Source organism: Homo sapiens, chromosome 17, assembly GCF_000001405.40.
Source record: "Homo sapiens chromosome 17, GRCh38.p14 Primary Assembly".
In the NCBI taxonomy this organism is placed as follows: Eukaryota; Metazoa; Chordata; class Mammalia; order Primates; family Hominidae; genus Homo; species Homo sapiens.
In genome coordinates this window covers 34,920,498-34,941,326 of record NC_000017.11, presented here as the reverse complement: position 1 = coordinate 34,941,326, position 20,829 = coordinate 34,920,498, and the positions used below count along the sequence as shown (strand labels likewise).

The 20,829-nt window shown below is 37.0% G+C and overlaps 1 protein-coding gene and 1 long non-coding RNA gene across 10 annotated transcripts in view; both read left to right on the top strand.

The window, feature by feature from the left end:
* CCT6B (chaperonin containing TCP1 subunit 6B) overlaps positions 1–13,466 on the top strand; it is a 33,600-nt gene extending 20,134 nt beyond the window's left edge. For all 3 annotated transcript variants that reach the window (NM_001193530.2, NM_001193529.3, NM_006584.4), the window contains 7 exons: positions 706–788; positions 1,614–1,710; positions 1,997–2,144; positions 8,827–8,960; positions 10,276–10,378; positions 12,293–12,365; positions 13,210–13,466. In NM_001193530.2, coding sequence (NP_001180459.1) covers positions 706–788; positions 1,614–1,710; positions 1,997–2,144; positions 8,827–8,960; positions 10,276–10,378; positions 12,293–12,365; positions 13,210–13,279 — 708 coding nt within the window. In that variant the 3' untranslated portion in view covers positions 13,280–13,466. The remainder of the gene's footprint in view (positions 1–705; positions 789–1,613; positions 1,711–1,996; positions 2,145–8,826; positions 8,961–10,275; positions 10,379–12,292; positions 12,366–13,209) is intronic.
* Positions 13,467–17,929: 4,463 nt separating this feature from the next.
* The window catches only part of LOC105371742 (uncharacterized), a 163,994-nt gene continuing 161,094 nt past the window's right edge, over positions 17,930–20,829 (top strand). For all 7 annotated transcript variants that reach the window (XR_001752848.3, XR_934691.4, XR_001752844.3 and 4 more), the window contains exon 1: positions 17,930–18,031. This is a non-coding gene — a long non-coding RNA (uncharacterized LOC105371742). The remainder of the gene's footprint in view (positions 18,032–20,829) is intronic.

Below are 20,829 nucleotides of genomic sequence, written 5' to 3'. Positions count from 1 at the left end.
TGTGGAAACTTTGCCTAACTCAGTGAACTGATGCTATCTACATGACTAAAAATGCATGATTTTTATAAAATCATACATGGATAAATAATCCATTCAGTGTGCAAGTTACAGCAATGTGTTTTAATGTGAGATAGTATGAAAAGTTCATTGCTATGGTTCCATAGTGAAACTAACCTTTGAGAAACTATTACTTACTGAGTTTTGGTATAGTATCAAAGAAGAATTTCCATAATTATCTGAAAAGCCTATTAAAATATTACTCCCTTTACAATATTTATCTGTGTGGGGCCAGATTTTCTTCATAAACTTGAACCAAAATAACATATCATTCCAAATTGAATACTGAATGAGATATGAGAATCCATTTGTTTTCTATGAAGATAAACATTGAAGAGATTTGCAAAAATGTAAAGTAATGCCACTGCTAGCTCACTATATATATTTTTGTTTTCAAAAGTGTAGTAAATTTTCATTTAAAATGTTATGTGTATTAACATAAAATGGGCTTATTATTTAAATGAATTAATAAATATTTTAAAAATTTCTCAGTTTTTATAATACAAATATTATAGATAGAGCTTACATAAACAAAAGCTTTTTGGGTGCTTAATCATTTTTAAGAGAGTAAAGTGGTGCTGAGACCAAAAGGTTTGAGAAATACTGGTTTAAAACATGTTTATAATTTTTATGTTAATTTGATTATAGGGAATTGATCCATTTTCCTTAGATTCTCTTGCAAAACATGGAATAGTAGCTCTTCGCAGAGCAAAAAGAAGAAATATGGAAAGGTAAGCTTGCAGATAATTATATATCCTAAGTTTTTAACAGAGTAAATGGAAACTATCCCATGTGTTTTCCTTTTAGCTTATGTGTAAATGTTGTTGAACAAAACAGTGGCATAAAAAAATCCAAATTTTGTTTTTAGTTTCAGTAAATAATTGAACTGTCAAAAAGCAAGGTTGTTAACCTACTGCAGAACTTTGTTGAAGTATAAGGAAAGTTTTTATCTTTTTAAAACAGATTTTAAAAACAAAACAATACAACATAATACAGCATGATCTCACTTTTATATATGGAATCTAAAAAAGTTGAACTCATAGAAGTAGATAGTAGAATGGCGGTTACCAGGGGCTGGGGCAGTGGGAGGGGAGGGGCACTGGGAATATGTGGGTCAAAGGATACAAAATTTCAGTTAGTTAGGAGGAATAAATTCAAGAGATCTATTGTCCAACATGGCAACTGTAGTTAATAACAATATATTGTTCTTTTTAAAAATCTTTTGCAAACCCACCCGAGAATGCACAATGTGTTGGATTCTTGAAAAATGCTGAGAGTAGATTTTAAGTGTTCTTATCACACAAATGGCTAAATCAAGCCTCACATAGGCAATATGTATGTTAATTAGCTCAATTTAGCCATTCCACAGTGTATACATATTTAAAAACATCATCATGTTGTACTCGATAAATATAGACAATTTTATTAGACAATTAAAAACCCAAAACAATACAATACAGTAACAATACAGTCTTCTGCATTAGATATCTTCTCTCTGAGAAATTAGTATTAATGTTCTCCATAATCAAGCTATGGTGACATATATGTAATTTCAGACTCTCTCTTGCTTGTGGTGGAATGGCCGTGAATTCTTTTGAAGATCTCACTGTAGATTGCTTGGGACATGCTGGTCTTGTGTATGAGTATACATTAGTGAGTATTTCTATGAACAGTGGTTATAAAGTGAATACTAAGCCCCCTTTTTTAAAGAAAAATACTACTTGACCTTTTATTTCATGTTTTGTGTTTTGAGATCTAATTCACAGAACAGATTTTACAGTTTATTTACCTAAATGTTTGTTAAGAGTTCAGATATAACTTAACTCCCTTAGTTATGCTTGATAAGAAAAATTCAAATGAAGATTGTATTCTAGTATAAATTGTTGATTTTATAATGACATCAAATATTAAAGTTATATATTTTTGTGCCACCCTTTAGGGTGAAGAAAAGTTCACTTTTATTGAGGAGTGTGTTAACCCTTGCTCTGTTACCTTGTTGGTTAAAGGACCAAATAAGCATACTCTCACACAAGTCAAGGATGCCATAAGAGATGGACTTCGTGCTATCAAAAATGCCATTGAAGATGGTAAGCTCTTTCTTGTGATTGATATGAACCTCATGTATATGTGTGTATATATGTATATATATATACACACACACCTATGTATGTATATATGTATATTTTTAGACAGAGTCTTCCTCTGTTGCCCAGGCTTTAGTGCAGTGGTGCGATCTCAGCCCACTGCAACCTCTGCCTCCCAGGTTCAAGTGATTCTTCTGCCTCAGCCTCCCAAGTAGCTGGGATTACAGGCACACACCACCACACTTGGCTAATTTTTTGTATTTTTAGTAGAGATGGGGTTTCGCCATGTTGGCCAGGCTGGTCTCGAACTCCTGGGCTCAAGCGATCTGCCCTTGTTGGCCTCCCAAAGAGCTGAAATTACACGTGTGAGCCACCATGCCTGGCCTTTAAGTCTTTTTAAATTTTATTTTTATTATTAATCTATTTAATCTATTTATTTCTTTTGAGACCAGGTTTTGAAACTGGCTAATTTTTGTATTTTTGGTAGAGATGAGGTTTCACCATGTTGCCAAGGTTGGTCCTGAACTCCTGGGCTCAAGGGATCCACTTGTCTTGGCCTCCCAAAGTGCTAGGATTACTGGCATGAGCCACTGCGCCTGGCTGCAAACCTCACATATATATATTTTTCTCAAGACAGGGTCTTGCTCTGTCACCCAGGCTAGAGTGCAGTGGCACAATCATGGCTCACTGCAGCCTCAAACCCCTGTGCTCAAGTGATCCTCCCACCTCAGCTGGACGATAGGTGCATGCCACCACACCTGGCTAATTTTTAATTTTTTTTTGTAGAGATGAGTTCTGTCTATGTTGCCCAGGCTGGTCTTGAACTCCTGGCCTCAAGCAGTTTTCCCCCTTCAGCCTCCCAGAGTGCTGGGATTTGTAGGCACGAGCCACCACATTCAGCCCATGTTGAGCATCTTTTAATGTGTTTATTTGCCCTTTGTATATCTGGTGAATTTTCTGTTTAAATCTTTTGCCCTTTTAAATAATTGGATTGTTGGCCATGCACAGTGGCTCTCACCTGTAATTCCAGCACTTTGGGAGGCCAAGATGGGAGGATTGCTTGAGCCCAGGAGTTGGAAACCAGCCTGGGCAACATAGCAAGACCATGCCTCTACACACACACACACAAATAGCCAGGCGTGGTGGCCTGTACCTGTAGTTCCAGCTACTTAGGAGGCTGAGGCAGGAATATCACTTGAGTCCCAAGAGTCTGAGGTTACAGTGAGCTATGATCACACCACTGCACTCCAGCCTGGGCGTCAGAGTGAGACCCTGTTTCCAGAAAAAAAAAAAAGAGAAGAAAAGAAAAGAAAAAAATTTGTGTTAGTATACTATTGTTGAGTTTGAGAGTTCTTTGTATATAATTTGGGTACAAGTGCTTTTTCAGATATATAATTGGCAAATTTTTCTCCTCTGTGGCTTATTTTATTATTAACAGTGCCTTTCAAAGAGAAGTTCTTAATTTTGATGAAGTCTAATTTATTATTTTTATTCTGTCATGGATTATGCTTTTGGTGTGGTATCTGAAAAATCTTTACCTAACCTAGGGTCATAAAGATTTTCCTCTAAAAGTGTTACAGTCTTATGTTTTACATTTAGGTCTGTGATTCATTTTAAGTTAAATTTTGTATATGGTGCAAGTATGGATACAAGTTCATTTTTTTCATATAAAGGTATCAGATTGTTTTAGTCTTATTTGCTGAAAAGACTTTACTTTCACCACCGAATTGCCTTTTCTCGTGTATAAAAAATCAGTTTTTCATATTTGTGTGGTTCTATTTCTGTGCTCTTTTTTCTGTCCTACTGATGCATTTGTCTATTTTAATGTTAATATCATACTGTCCTGACGACTGTAGCTTTATAATAAATCTTGAAATCAGTATTGTTAACTCTCATTTTTTTTTTAAGTTATTTTGGTCATTCTAAGTCTTTGGCATTTCCATATGACTTCCATATGAATTTTAGAATCAGCTTGTCAATTTCTACCAAAAAGACTGCTGCTGGGATTTTGATCAGAACTTTTTTTTTTAGAAAGGATCTTACTCTGTCACTCAGGCTGGAGTGCAGTGGTGTGATCATGGCTCACTGCAGACTTGACCTGCTGAGCTCAAGTGACTCTCCCACCTTAGCTTCCCAAGTAGCTGGAACCACAAGCATGCACTACCATGCCTGGTTAATTTTTTTTTATTTTCTGTAGAGACAACGTCTCATTATGTTGTTACCCAGGCTGGTCTCAAACTCCTGGGCTCAAGCGATCCTCCCGCCTTGGCCTCCCAAAGTGCGTGGATTACAGGTGTGAGCCATTACACCCTGCTTGATTGGAATTTTATTAAATCTGTAGACCAATTTGGAGATAGTTGATATTTTAATAATGAGCCTTCTAACTCATGAATATCATCTTATCTATTTGAGTCTTCTTGAATTTATCTCAGCAATATTTCATAGATCTTAGTATATGAGCCTCACATACTTTTTTCCATATTTATCTCTATATATTTTATGTATTTTGTTGCTATTGTATATGCTATTTTTAAAATTTCCATTTCTGATTGTTAGTTGCTAATATATAGAAATATATTTTATTTTTGTACATTGATCTTGAATTCTGCAACCTTGCTAAATCACAATTAGCTTTCTTATAGGCTTCATTGAATTATCTATATAAGTGATTACATTGTCTGCTATACAGTTATACTTTTTGCTCTCCAATATGGATATTTTAAAATTTTCTCCCTTATTTCATGGGCCAGAACCTCCAGTATAATGTTGACTAGAAATAATGAGAATGGACATCCTTTCCTCATCGCTGATCTTAGGGGGAAAGCATTCAATCTTTCTCCATTATGTATGATGTTAGCTATAGGTTTTTATCAGGTTGAGGAAGTTCTCCCTTCTGCACCTAGTTTGCTGACAGTTTTTAATCAAGAATAAATGCCAGGCTGGTCGTGGTGGCTCACACCTGTAATTCCAGCATTTTGGGAGGCTGACGTGCATGGGTCACCTGAGGTCAGGAGTTCAAGACCAGCTTGGCCAACATGGTGAAACTGTCTCTACTAAAAATAAAAAAATTAGCTGGGCATGGTGGCAGGCACCTGCAATCTCAGCTTCTCGTGAGGCTGAGGCAGGAGAATTGCTTGAACCTGGGAGGTGGAGGTTGTAGTGAGCCGAGATCGTGCCACTGGACTTTAGCCTGGGCGACAAGAGTAAAACTTCTTGTTGTTGTTGTTTTTTGTCAAAACACACACACACACACACACACACGAGAATAAATGCCAAATGCTTCTTGTGCATCTATTGAGATGATCATATGATTTTTTTTTTTTTCTTTTGAGATGAAGTCTCACTTCGTTGCCCAGGCTGGAGTGCCATGGCGCAATCCTGGCTCACTGCAACCTCTGCTTCCCAGGTTCAAGCGAATCTCCTACATCAGCCTCCTGAGTAGGTGGGATTACAGGCATGCACCACCATGCCAGGGTAATTTTGGTATGTTTCAGTAGAGATGGAGTTTCACCATGTTGGCCTGGCTGGTCTCGAACTCCTGACCTCAGGTGATCTGCTTGCCTTGGCCTCCCAAAGGTCTGGGATTACAAGCCTGAGCCACTGCACCCAGCCCTCGTTTAGTTTTCTCGTACAGTAAATTACATTGATTGATTCAAATGTCAAACCTTACATTCTTGGGATAAACCATACTTAGTTATAATGCATTTTACTTTTTAAAAAATTAATGGATTACATTTTTTTAAAATTATTTTTTAAATTGTGATAAATATACATAACATAAAATTTACAGTTTAACAATTTTTAAGTGTACAGTTCAGTGTTAGTAAGTGCATTCACAATGTTGTCTAACCATTATCACCACCCATCTCCAGAACTTTTTTTCCTTGCAAAACTGAAACTCTGAACCCATTAAACAATATCTCTCCATTCCCTACCCACCTCCCCAGCCCTGGGTAACCACCATTCTACTTTCTGTCTCTATGAGTTTACTCTATGTATCTCATATAATTGGAATCATACAGTTTTTGTCCTTTGTCTGGCTTATTTCACTTTGCATAGTGTCATCAAGGCTCATTCATGTTGTAGCATGTGCCAGAATTTCCTTCCTTTTTACCATTGAATAATATTCTATTGTATGTATATACCACATTTTATTTGTCTATTATTGGAAACGTGTTGCATTTACCTTTTGGCTATTGTGAATAATGGTACTATGTGTATTCTCCTTTTTATGTATTATTTGATTTAATTGGCTAAAATTTTGTTAAGAATTTTTACATATGTATTCATAAGGGGTATTGGTCTGTGTATATTTTTTCTTGTAATGCTTTTATCTTTTTTGGTGTTAGAACAATGCTGTACTCATAGAGTGAATTGGAAAGTTTTTCTTCTTGTTCAAATTTCTGAAAGTGTAAAGTTGTTGTGGAGAATTGGTATTATTTGTATTATTTCTTTCTTAAATGTTGGTAGACTGTCAATAAAGCCATCTGAGCCTGGAGTTTTCTTTGTGGGAAAGCTTTTAATGACACATTCAATTTTTTTAATAGACGTAGGGCTATAAAGGTTTTGTTTTTTTTGAGTGAGCTTTAGTGGTTTGTAGTCTTTCAAGAATTTGTCCACTTCATCTAAGTTAGGATCATCAACTACTATCTATGAGCTAAATCTGATTTGCTGCCTGTTTTGGTAAATAAAGTTTTGTTGGAATGTGGCCATACTCATTTGTCTATATATTGTCTGTGGCTATTTTTGTGTTACAGTGGCAGAGTTGAATAGTTGGAAAAGAAATGGTATGGCCTGAAAAATATTAACTGGCCTTTTGCAGAAAGTTTACTAACTTCTGATCAACAGTTTCAACTTTATTGTCATAAAGTCGATCATAATATTCATTTGTTATTCTTTTTAATATCTGTAGAATCTGTAGTGATATAAATTTTCTCATTTCTGACATTTGTCATTTGACTAATTTCCACTTTCATCCTAATTATTTCCTTTCTTTTGCTTATATTAGGTTTCATTTGTGCTTCCTTTTTTAGTTTTTTTTTTTTTTTTTTCTTTTTGAAACAGAGTCTCGATCTGTCACCTAGGCTGGAGTGCAGTGGCATGGTCACGGCTCACTGCAGCCTTGACTTCCCAGGCTCAGGCAGTCCTCCCACCTTAGCCTCCTAAGTAGCTGGGATTACAGGTGTGTGCCACCAAACCTGGCTAATTGTTGTGTTTTTTGTAGAGATGGGGTCTCACTGTGTTGCCCAGGCTGGTCTTGAATTTCCGGGCTCAAGTGATCTACCTGCCTTGGCCTCCCAAAGTGCTGGGATTATAGGAGCGAGCCACCAGACCCTGTCCTTTTCTAGTTTCTTAAGGTGGAAGCTGGGGTCATTAGTTTGAGAACTTTCTTCGTTCCTAATATAGGTGTTTCGTGATATAAATTTCTCTTTAAGTACTGCTTTAGGGATGCTAAAATTTTGATATGTTGTGTTTTCACAGAGAATGGGATCAGGGAAGTTTTCAAAGGTTCTAGTAATCTCTTTCTTAAGCTGGGTGGTAGGTACATGGATACATTTGTTTATTTGTGCATTTATTCTTTATATCATACATATAAATATTCTTTTGAGTATATTCTGTATTTAACAAGGAACTTTTAAAAAATGTGAATGGGAGGTAATGATGTAATCATCTGGTGGGTAAACAACTCTTTGAGCGGTTATGTTGTGAAGTGAAGCAGTGAAAGGGGGTAGTAATTTTAAAATGATGTGAGATAAAAGGGGAGATTGTTTTCGTATTGTTTTGTTTTAAAGCAAGTTTTCTGATTTAAATAAGAGTCATAAACTTTATGAAACCATACAAGTAGCAGATATAAAAGTGATATCCTGATGTGAAATTTGATGTGTTTAACCAAAACTCTTGCTTTAGAATAATACCACTTAAATTTTTTCTTAGATAGCAGTTTGAGTTCTGCTGCAGTACAAAAAACAAATACTTCATTGAGTTCCAAGAATTCCCTATCAAAAACTAGACAAATGATCTTGGTCTAAAGAATTTTCATGTCAGATATTGTAATCAGTTACCTGTCAATATAAATTATAAATACCTCTTAAAAGTAGTCATAAGGCCGGGTGTGGTGGCTCACACCTGTAATCCCAGCATTTTGGGAGACGGAGGTGGGTGGATCACTTGAAGTCAGGAGTTCAAGACCAGCCTGGCCAACGTGGTGAAACCCCATCTCTATTAAAAATACAAAAATTAGCTGGGTGTGGTGGTGCACGCCTGTAATTCCAGCTACTTAGAAGGCTGAGGTAGGAGGATCACTTGAACCTGGAAGGCAGAGGTTGGAGTGAGTCAAGATCATGCCACTACAGTACAGCCTGGGTGATGGAGTAAAACTCCATCTCAGAAAAAAAAAGTAGTTATAAAAGAGTAAGATGAAGGTAAAAATAAATTATTCTTGTTTACCAGAGGGTAAGGAGCAAAATAAGCTGTTTGCAGCCAGTTATCTGTACTATGCCTATTTATTTAATGACATATAACTTCAGGATGTTTCATAAGATAACTGAGTAATTACTAAGCTGTGCAATTTATTTGGTTTCTGTAGATAATAGAACATACTTAAATAGTGAATTGCTTTTCTGTCTCTCTCTCTCTTTTGGTCTTTATGGCATGTCTTGCCAATCATATTTTTTCTCTCCAATAGGTTGTATGGTTCCTGGAGCTGGTGCAATTGAAGTGGCAATGGCTGAAGCTCTTGTTACATATAAGAACAGTATAAAAGGAAGAGCTCGTCTTGGAGTCCAAGCTTTTGCTGATGCCTTACTCATTATTCCCAAGGTACAACTACCCTTTCGGCCAAATAACAACTGCTTAGACATAAAGGTGTTTAATTACAAATTGCCCATATTATCTGATAGTTAATGGAGTAGACAGGTATTTATGTGCATTTCCTTACACAGTTTTCTCTTAGATATTTTACAACTAAAGCAGGGAAACTTTTGCGATAACAGCCCAGGATCCTTGCACGATCTCATGAAATAGCCAACTTACCCCCTTGCTTCTTTCTCTGAGTTCCAAAAATTAAAGCAGCTCCAAAAATTTCCTTCAGAAATGACTCATGATTAACTAATCATAATGAAAAAGTTTAGAATTTAAAATTTAGTTAGATTTTGTGGTACATCTTTGTTTTGTTAGTGGTATCCAAATGTAATCAATTTAAATTGTGGAGAGGGAGGGCTTGAGGCTCTTTAGCACTCCTAGATACAACCTTACATTTGTCATCATCATTATAATTCCTAGAAAAAGAGAAAACAGAATTTTTCCATGTGGCAACCTAAGGACAGAAAGCGACCATTCCTTTGTCTTTGCCTTAATTGGTTTCAAACCACCTTAGAAATATAGTAAAACTACTTCAAAGATGCTATTACCATGAATTAAAACATTATTAACAATGTTAGCAAAATCTCTTTGCTAATTTTTATTAAAATTTTTCATAATTTGTGAAATCTTTGTGAATTAGATTTGCTATTTTTTCTTTCCCCAGAGCAGCAAAGTCAGTATGATCCTGCTGCTGACAGAAATTGGTAACCCCAGTACACATTACATTGGTGGTACCTTTTTCCTCATCAGCTGGTGATTTGGGGCCACTTGGAAGTGAGCCTGGTTTGGAGTGCAGGTATCTCCAACCCTGTTACCACAGGTCGTGACTCTCCTCATGAAGATGAGGGGCACAAAGGTGCTGCAAATATTCTGGTTTCCTTAGCAAGTGCCTATGAAGAACTGGAGGGCATGTGGCTAGCGGCACTAGAGGAAACAAGAATATCATTCTACTTCCTTCCATACTAAAAACAAAACAAAACAAAACAAACCTTTTGCAAGGAGGGAAATTAATGTAGTAGGGTAAAAATGGGGGAACTCTGATGTCCTCAGAATTTAGTGTGACGTGCATAGGGGAAATGTTTAAGTAAATATAAAAACTACTAGATAGATGAAATAATAATTTGATTTAGATTAAAAGTGGAATTCTTCAAAAGGAGATGATTGCCATGTTATGGATGTGTTTTTACAAGAGTAAAGAGTATTTTTATATTTGATATATGTGAAGGTATTATGCATATATATATAATATATATTATTATTTTTATTCCTAAAGGTTCTTGCTCAGAATGCTGGTTATGACCCACAGGAAACATTAGTAAAAGTTCAGGCTGAGCATGTCGAGTCAAAACAACTTGTGGGCGTAGATTTGAATACAGGTAAGAAAGTGAAGGAAAATTAGCTGCTTAATAAAGAGGTTATTCTTTAGTTACCCAGATCTTATGGTAAAGGAGTAGAGGTTTGGGTAACTTTAATATTTAAATTTTGGATGCCTTTAGTTTATTTTTGAGCTTCTTAAAAAATGTTCATTCATTTAAGAAATAGTTATTGAGTGCTTGTTTTCCTCTTGGGCTTCACACAGAACAAAACAGACAAAAATATCTGCCCCTGGGAGCTTATGTTGTAGTGGGAGAAGGTAGGCAGTAAATAATAACTTTAATAAATAAACTCCTTCAGCATTTTAGAAAAAGTAATGAATTATATGGAAAAAAGAGTGCTATAATAATGATCATGAATGCTAGTACAGGAGGGTGGAGAGAGAATGACAGCTTAAAGGGTTGGTCAGGGTAGGCATCATCTAGATGTCTGTTGAAAAAAAGTGGAAGGAAGTGAGGAAATTAGCCATGTAGGCAACTGGGGTTAAGTGTTCTAGGGAAAGAGAACAGCCAGTGGAAAAGCCAGTGTCTGATGTTTCTGAGGAAGGAGGTGAGAGAGGTGACAGAAGGTCAGATCATGCAGGGGCATTTGGACCAGTCTCAGGACTTTGGCTTTTACTTTAGAGGAGCAGGGAGCAATTTTGAGCAGAGGTGTGACATGGCCTAATTAATTAATTTATGAGACAGTCTCGTTCTATCACCCATGCTGTGGAGTGCAGTGGCACGATCTTGGCTCACTGCAACCTCTGCCTCCCAGGTTCAAGCAATTCTCCTGCCTCAGCCTCCGGAGTAGCTGGGAATATAGGTGTCTGCTGCCACGCCCGGCTAATTTTTGTATTTTTAGTAGAGACAGGGTTTCACCATGTTGGCCAGGCATGTGGCCTAATTATGTTTAAGAGAATCACTCTGGCCACTCTCCACTTTGTAGAGAAGTCAACTGAACAAGTAGAAGGTTGGAGTTGCAATCAACTGTGGTGGAGAATACTGGCTGGAGCAGGTTGTGGGTGAGAGGACATCAGCATTCAGTTTTGGCAGAGTCAAAGTTGAAGCATCTGTAATCTTTTAATTAAAAAAGTTGGATATATGGGTCTGGAGTTCAAGGAAGAGGTCTGGGTTGGAGATTAAAACCTGAGAGTCAGGCCAGGCGCAGTGGCTCACGCCTGTAATCCCAGCACTCTGGGAGGCCAAGGTAGGTGAATCACTAAAGGTCAAGGGTTCAAGACCAGCCTGGCCAACATGGTGAAACCCCATCTCTACTAAAAATGCAAAAATTAGCCGGGGATGGTGGCAGGCCCCTATAATCCCAGCTACTTGGGAGGCTGAGTCAGGAGAATTGCTTGAACCCAGGAGGTGGAGGTTGCAGGGAGCCGAGATGGCACCACTGCACTCCAGCCTGAGTGACAGAGCAAGATCTCTGTCTCAAAAACAAAAACAAAAAACACCAAAAAAAAAAAAAAAAAGAAAGAAAACAAAAAACAAAAACACCCAAAAAACCTTGAGAGTCATCAGATGTGTATGGTTTAAATCTAAAAGTCTGGATGAGATCACCTAGGGATTAAGGGTAGAGAGAAAAGAGGCTGGGACTGAACTTTTGGGTACTCCAACGTTAAGAGGTCAGGGAGGAAGAGGAAGAAGCAGCAAAGTAATCAGAAAAGGAGCCACTAATGCAAAAGAAAGAAAACCAGAAGAGTGTGGTATCCTGGAAGATAACATAGAGTAGGCGGCAGAATGTGATCAACTGTGTTAAATACTGGTAGATGAGGTCTGAGAATCAACCATTGGATTTAACAATATGGAGGTCATTGATGACCTTGACAAAAGTAGTTTTGGTAATGTATTAAATATTTTTAGAAGATATCAATTAATATTAATAGCAAATACTAAGATTTTGGTATGAAAATTGTTTTTACTTTTCAGGTGAGCCAATGGTAGCAGCAGATGCAGGAGTTTGGGATAATTATTGTGTAAAAAAACAACTTCTTCACTCTTGGTAAGTTCATATGAACATAAAGTGAAAGACCTGTAGAGTTATAATTGATAATATTAAGATGAAATTTTTTCTATTATTTTTGTCCCTGTACAGTGGAAAAATTGTCAAGTGTATGAAAGGTGTGGTATTCAGTTATTAGAACTAGCTTCTGTCATTTTATAGTCCATAGTCCCTTTTATATTTTAGATCTAGCAGTGTTAAGTTCTAAGAAAAATTAACCTTACTATTTGAGGGGGAAAGAAAAGGGGAAATTTACTGAAATAATAGCACATGCATGATGGAGAAAATCAAATGATATTGTAAAAATAAGCTCAATTTTGCTGAAATATAAATCAGGAATGCACTTTATCAGCAAAGGAGTTTAAATTATAATACAAAGGGTGACATTTGGGCCAGTGCGGTGGCTCACACCCGTAATCCCAGCACTTTGGGAGGCCGAGGCGGGTGAATCACCTAAGGTCAGGAGTTCGAGACCAGCCTGGCAAACATGGTGAAACCCTGTCTCTACTAAAAATACAAAAATTAGCCAGGCGTGTTGGTGGGTGCCTGTTATCCCAGCTACTCGGGAGGCTGAGGCGGGAGAATTGCTTGAACCTGGGAGGCAGAAGTTGCAGTAAGCTGAGGTCTTGCCATTGCACTTCAGCCTGGGCAACAAGAGTGAAACTCCATCTTGGGAAAAAAAAAAAAGGTGACATTTGTATTTGTATTTATAATAGCCTTGTCTCATAAAACATCATACTAACATCATTAAAGAACAAAGTACCCTACATAGGTAAAGATTGCTGGGGAAAAAAGCTAAGAGTGGGTTAGTAGGCTTTACTCACCCTCTCATCTTTTTCCTTAGCACAGTGATTGCCACCAACATTCTCCTGGTTGATGAAATTATGCGAGCTGGGATGTCTTCTCTCAAATGATGATTGAATTCAAAATCAACCCTTCTAGAAGATGAAATTTAGTACACTTTACATCTGACTACTATTGTGTAGCCTGAGCCATTCTGAATTTCTACACAATAAATGCAGTTTATGTCTTTTGGGTCTTAATAGTCTCAAAAATATTTCATCAAGGTATAAAGAACACAATAAATACTTTTACAGTAAAGGAATAATATTTAAATATTTCCCCAAGAGTCCTAACTCCCCACTCTTTGTTATATGCTATTGCAGTTTTTATAGCATAGGATCTTTATGATACTTAGACCTTTTGACAAGTTTTAATTAACAAAATAGAGGTTTTAGTACACCCAAGTAAATTTCCAATTTATCAGAGGGTATAAATATAGTAGGACAGAATGTTTCATTTTCTCTCAAAATTCTTTCAGTGACTTTTTGCTGCCACTCTTTCCTCTTATAAATATGGCGTGTAGCTTTGGGTTGCATTGTTTATAATATCTGACTCAATTTATTTTGTATATCATTTATTATATTTTATCTGGCTGTTTTTGTATGTATGATCAACAATTTATGCCACTGTGCTAGCTCTGGTAGCTCTCTGTCTAGATGGTGAGATAGAACAGGTCTCATCTGGAAAGAGAATTATTGACACCAATGGTGGGAAATAATTATTTTTGGCTTATAATACAACTGTTCAGTATAGATATTATAGCAATATCTTTCTTGTTTGAAACTCTAGAATTAATCTATTATGCTTTTTATTTTTATTAGAGTTCTTGTGGTTAACTTCTTTCCGTGGATGGTAGTTGATAAGAGACTAAAATATGGCAGGTGCATTAATGGAACTTTGGCCTGTTTGTGCATATAGGAGAAGGTTCCTTTAACCCTATAATTTTATAGCCTGTTTTTTCCACTTAATATGCTGTCAGCATCTTTCTAAGGCAGTATCCAGACTTCTTCTTCTTCTTTTTTTTTTTTTTTTTTTTTTTGAGATGGAGTCTCACTCTTCACCCAGGCTGGAGTGCAGTCATGATCTCGGCTCATTGCAACCTTTGCCTCCCAGGCTCAAGTGACTCTCCTGCCTTATCCTCCTTAGTAGCTGAGATTACAGGTGCACACCACCACGCCTGACTAATTTTTGTATTTTTAGTTGAGAAGGGGTTTCACTATGTTGACTAGGCAGATCTCAATCTCCTGACTTTCGGTGATCTGCCTGCCTTGGCCTCCCAAAGTACTCAGGTTACAGGCATGAGCCAGCACACCTGGCCTAGTATTCAGACTTCTGAACCATCACTTATTTATGGTTACATAGCATTGCATTGTATGGTTATACCACAATTTATTTTACTAATTCTGTTTTCAATTTTTTTTTTGCTGTTATAAAGAAAGATCTCCTTTTTAAACTTGTCTTTATTCTATAGGATAGGCCTTTTAAAATGGGCTTACCATGCATATGGCCAGATCTTTTCTGTGTAACATTGTTTAAATTTTGAAATATTTAAAATATACCAAAAAGACAGAAAGTAATATAATAAACACATTTGTACCCTCCACCTAGCTTTAACAAATAGTAACATTTTGCCATATTTGTTTCAGATTTTCTTTTCTTTTCTTTTTCTTTTTTTTTTTTTTTTGAGGCAGAGTCTCCCTCCTGTCACCCAGGCTGGAGTGCAGTGGCACCATGTTGGCTCACTGCAACCTCCACCTTCTGGATTCAAGCGATTCTCCTACCTCAGCTTCCCAAGTAGCTGGAATTACAGGAGCCTGCCACCGCCTGGCTAATTTTGTATTTTTGGCAGAGATGGCGTTTCGCCATGTTGGCCAGGCTGGTCTCAAACTCGTGACCTCAAGTGATCTGCCTGCCTCGGCCTCCCAAAGTTTTGGGATTACAGGCATAAGCCACTGTACCCAGCCAGATTTTCTTTAAAGAAATACCAAAATACAAAATGTTAAGATGCCACTTCCCCCACCCACTCCCCATCATGCTTTTTCCACCCTTCTTCCCTAGAGGTGATCTTTATTGCCTATTCACTTTTATTTTTCCCACTCTTTATTCTTTTTTTTTTTGAGACAGTTTTGCTGCTCAGGCTGGAGTACAGTGGTACGATCGCGGCTCATTGCAACCTCCACCTCCTAGGTTCAAGTGATTCTCCTGCTTCAGCCTCCCTAGTAGCTGGGATTACAGGCACCTGCCATCACGCTTGGCTGATCTTTTGTATTTTTAGTAGAGACAGAGTTTCACCATGTTTGCCATACTGGTCTTGAACTCCTGACCTCAGATGATCCACCCACCTCGGCCTCCCAAAGTGCTGGGATTACAGTTGTGAGCCACTGCGCCCAGCCACTCTTTATTCTTTTGCATACCTGTGACAACATAAAAATTTTGTTTGGGGTATTTATTTATTTAGTTTATTTAGAGACAGGGTGTCACTGTGTCACCCAGGCTGGAGTGCAGTGGCACAATCAGCTCACTGCAGCCTCAAACTTCTGGGCTCAAGCAATCCTCTCACCTCAGCCTCCTGAGTAGCTAGGACTATAGGCACATGACACCACACCTAGCTAACTGGTGAATTTTTCTTTTTTTTTCTTTTTTTCCATTCTTTCTTTCTTTTTTTTTTTTGTTTTTTGTTTTTTGTTTTTTTTTTGTGGAGATGGGGTCTTGTTATGTTGCCCAGGCCGTTCTTGAACTCCTGGCCTCAAGCAGTCCCCCTGCCTTGGCCTCTCAAAGTGGTGGGATTATTGAGTACCGAGCCTTTTCTTGGGTTTTTAAAATGTATAAATTGTATCGCTCTGTAGATATACTTTTGTGCTTTTATTTCTCACTTAATGGTTTTGAGACTTATCCATTCACTCATTTTAGCAGTTTTGGAGTATTCCAGTGTATTTCTTTTTTTAAAAAAAGTTACACAAACTTTTATTTAAAAAAACACAAAAATACAGCCTTTTTTCACTTCAGTTATATGGTATATTGCATTTTCCAGTTAGTTCAATGCTTTAACGCTCAAGGATGCCTCTGCTTTTGATTGTACATGGGCCTGAAGCATCCTAGGTTTTGGCAAGCAGACAGGAGATTCAACAAAAACCAAAATAGGAACATTAATGCAGGCCACATCTGTAAACATATGATACATTTACAAATTACAATATCAGCCAAAGTGACACAGTTTACAGGTGAAATGAAACTATCTGGAACTGCCTTACCCCAAGTTTCTGAATCTGGACTCATATAATAAGTTATATATATATAAAATGTGTTTTAAAAGTTTTGTTTACATCAAGTGGGATTTGCAATCTATGCTTATACTTTTAAAATCTAAGCAGGGCATATTCCAGTATATTTCTTGTATGTATGTATGTATGTATGTATGTATGTATGTATGTATGTATGTATGTATGTAGAGACAGGGCCTCACTGTGTTGCCCAGGCTGGTCTTGAACACCTGGCCTCAAGTGATCCTCCCACCTCAGCCTCCCCAAGTGTTGGGATTACAGGTGGGGGCCACCCCACCTGGCTTTCAGTATGTTTCTGTACTACAATGTCATGTTCCAGGAAGTTAAAGAAAAAAACTTCAACATCAAAATTTTCAGAATATGTGTCAATGGCTTAGAAGAAAATGCCAGAGATAGTAGTAGAGACTTTTTCATGAAATGTTGCATTACCACTTCTTGATGGTGAGAATGAGTGTCAGAGACTCTAAGTTGAAAAGTGATTTAGAAGAGTTGGACTCTTGATTATGAAGTCTTAAGAGTATCTTACCTTATTATTTTGCCTATGTTATTAATGCATAGGAACGATATATGATAAAAAATTGTATATGTAAGTTTAAAAAGCTCTTACAGTAAATATAAAAAATGTATGAATGATAAAGTATTATGTCATGGTTGAAGTGATAGCATTTTCTTTTAGTCTATGAAGTAATGGGTGCATCTTATAATGAGTGACATTTTAGATTCAATGAAATATGGTACTATTTATATACTGCTGGACTCAATGCTAATATTTATTTAGGTTTTTACATGTGTTCATAAGCACTGTTGGCCTATAATTTTACTTGTTCTACTTTCCTCTTCTAATTTTTACATCAGTGACATATTAGCCTCATAAAATGAGTTGAGGAATTATTACTCTTTGTTTTCTGTGGAAGTTTGATTGGTAAAATGGAGGGTTATCTATTTCTTGACAGTTTGGTCTGAGTCTAGTAGTTTTTTAGATGGGAAGGATAGATTTTTGACTACTGATTCAATTTTCTTTATTATTTTAGGTCTCATGTTTTCTATTTCCTTTCGAGGCTGTTTTGATAATTTATATTTTTATAGAAATGCTTTATAAAATGATACTTTTTCCCTTAAAGTCTTATTTTGTTTTATATTCATCTAGCAATGCCAGCTCTATTTTGGTGCAGGGGATAGGGAAAGGATATTATTTTTCTAGTATGTTTTCCCATCCTTTTATGAAATTTCTTTGTTTTCAGGTATTAAATGTGTCTCTAAAAACACATTATTGCTAGATTTTATTAATTTAATAACTCATTGCAACCTCGATCTCCTGGGCTCAAGGGATTCTTCTACTTTAGCTTCCCAAGTAGTTGAGACTACAGGTGAGCACCACCACATCCGGCTCATTTATTTTTTATTTTATTTTATTTTTAGTGGAGATGGGGTTTCGCTATGTTGCCCAGGCTGGTCTGGAACTCCTGAGCTGGACCGATCCTCCTGCCTTGGCCTCCCAAAGTGCTGAGATTGCAGGAGTAATTGGGCAGTATCTTTTAACTGGTGAGTTTAGTTATTTTTGATGATTAGTGATAGATTTATTTCTACTATATAATTTTGATACTTTTTGTTTACTCTTCTTTTTAAAAAATGCTTTCTCTTTTTACTACCTTCAATTAGATTGATTCAATTTTGTCTACTTCCCATTTTTTTCTCTTTGATGGTTTGGAAATGATATATTCTATTTTTATTACTGTAGGGTTAATTTAAAAATTTTAACTTGCATACTTAACATAGTAACTCTGCTCCTCCCTAACAATACAAAGTCCTTAAAACATTTTAAATACAGTAATTCCTCCTGTGTTTACATGTGTTCTCATTCAATATTTTAGTTCCTTCTTGTTTTTAAATCTCTTAAATTAGTTATAGTAATAATCACTATTATTATTATTATTATTTTGAGATGGAGTCTCACTCTGTCGCCCAGGCTGGAGGGCAGTGGTGCAATCTCAGCTCACCACAACCTCTGCCTCCCAGGTCCAAGCGATTCTCCTGTCTCAGCCTCCCAAGTAGCTGGGATTACAGGCGTGCACCACCACGCCTGGCTAATTTTTGTATTTTTAGTAGGGACAGGGTTTCACCATGTTGGTCAGGCTGAGAATCACTATTATTTTATAAAGTCAGTTTCTGTTTAGACTTTCCATATGTTTATTCATTTCTTTGTTCACCACTCTTTCTTGCAACTGTCTTCTTCCTTCTGGATTCACTTTCTTTCTTACTGCTATATATTCTTTCTCCTTCTAGTGTACATCTGGTAGTAATACTCTCTTAGTTTTGCTGCCCTCAAAAGGTCTTTATTGCTCCTTACTATTGAATGATAATTTACTAAGTTACCCATTGTTTTCTCTCAGCACTTTGAAAATATTATCTCATTGTTTTCTGCTATTGTACAGGCTTTGTTATTATGGCACATATTTCCAAATTCCCTTCCATAGGGTTTATACCAGTTTGCACTCTCATTGGCAAGTTATAAACATGGGACCATTTTTACCTTTTTTTTGAAACCCTCAGGTGGTATAATTTCACAATCCACACCTGAGCATGGTGTAGGCCTAGAGCTTCAGTTTCTCATAGGCATCCTGAGCAGAGCAAGTTTTCCCATTACTTCACTTGGCAGGTGGGTGGAGTGCATCCAGCCTCTGCATTGGCCTCCGTAAATGTGCCTTTTTAAGGCTCTTGTTTCATTTAGGGGCCTTAGCTTCAACTCCTTCCTGCAAGTGTGGTCCTGTTTCTGTGTGAGTGTTAAAAGCCTGACATCTAGACTAGATCTTACATCTAGTTTCTTATTTTCTCTGGCTTCTATAGTTCACCTTCAGAGTTCGTCACTCTGCTTTGACTTCCTTTGGAAGATAATTTCCCTTTCTCTTTTTTAAGCTCAGCCATATAGTTTTTGTTTCTGTTTTGTATGCTCCTTATTTATTTATTTTAATGGTAAAATATATATAACATGAAATTTACCATTTTAACCACTTTTAAGTGTAATAGCTCAGTGGGATTAAGTATGTGTGCATTGTTGTGCAACCATCTCTACCATCCGTCTCTAGTACTTCTTTTCCGTGCAGAGCTAAAACTCTGTACCCATTAAACAATAACTCCTCATTTCCCCCTCCCCCTGGCCCCTGTTAATCACATTCTGCTTTCCGTCTCTATGAATTTGACTACTCTATGTACCTCATATGAACGGGATCATACAGTCTTTTGGCGACTGGTTTATTTCACTTAGCGTAATGTTGTCTATGTTCATTAATATTGTAGTGTGTGTTAGAATTTCTTTCTAAGGCTGAATAATATTCCAATATATGTACCTACCACATTTTATTTATTTATTCATCCATTGATGGGCACTTGGGTTATTTCTACCTTTTGGCTATTATGAATAATGCTGCTATGAACATGGGTGTGCAAATATGTTTGTCCCTACTTTCAGTTCTTTTGAATATATACAAATAAGTGGATTTGCTGGATCACATGGTAATTCTATTTTTAATTTCTTGAGGAATTTCTTTACATTTTTATACTCACCAGCAGTACACAAGGGCACTAATTTATATCTTCACCAATATTTGTTATTTTTTGATAACAGCCATCCTATTGGGTATGAAATGGTATCTCATTGCAAGCCATACATTTCCTCTAGCATTTTTATGTTTGTAAATTAGGGGTGAGGTGGAGGGTGGTCCACATTAGCTAGACTGCTATGTGCTAGAACTGCCAGATCTATCTATTTTTAATGCATGTGTTAGTTCATTTTCACACTGCTGATAAAGACATACCTGAGACTGGGAAGAAAAAGGGGTTTAATTGGACTTACAGTTCTGCATGTTTGGGGATGCCCCAGAATTATGGTGGGAGGCAAAAGACACTTACATGGCGGTGGCAAGAGAAAAATGAGGAAGAAGGAAAAGCAGAAACTCTTCATAAACCCATCAGATCTTGTGAGACTTACTCGCTATCACAAGAATAGCGTGGGAAAGACCAGCCCCCATGATTCAATTACCTCTCACTGGGTCCCTCCCACAAAACATGGGAATTCTGGGAAATGCAATTCAAGTTGAGACTTGGGTGAGAGCACAGCCAAACCATATCATTCTGCCACGGCCCCTCCCAAATCTCATGTCCTCACATTTTAAAACCAATCATGCCTTCCCAACAGTCCCCCAAAATCTTAACTCATTTCAGCATTAACTCAAAAGTCCACAGTCCAGAGTCTCATCTGAGACAAGGCAAGTCCCTTCCGCCTATGAGCCTGTAAAATCAAAAACAAGCTAGTTACTTCCTAGATACAATGGGGATACAGGTAT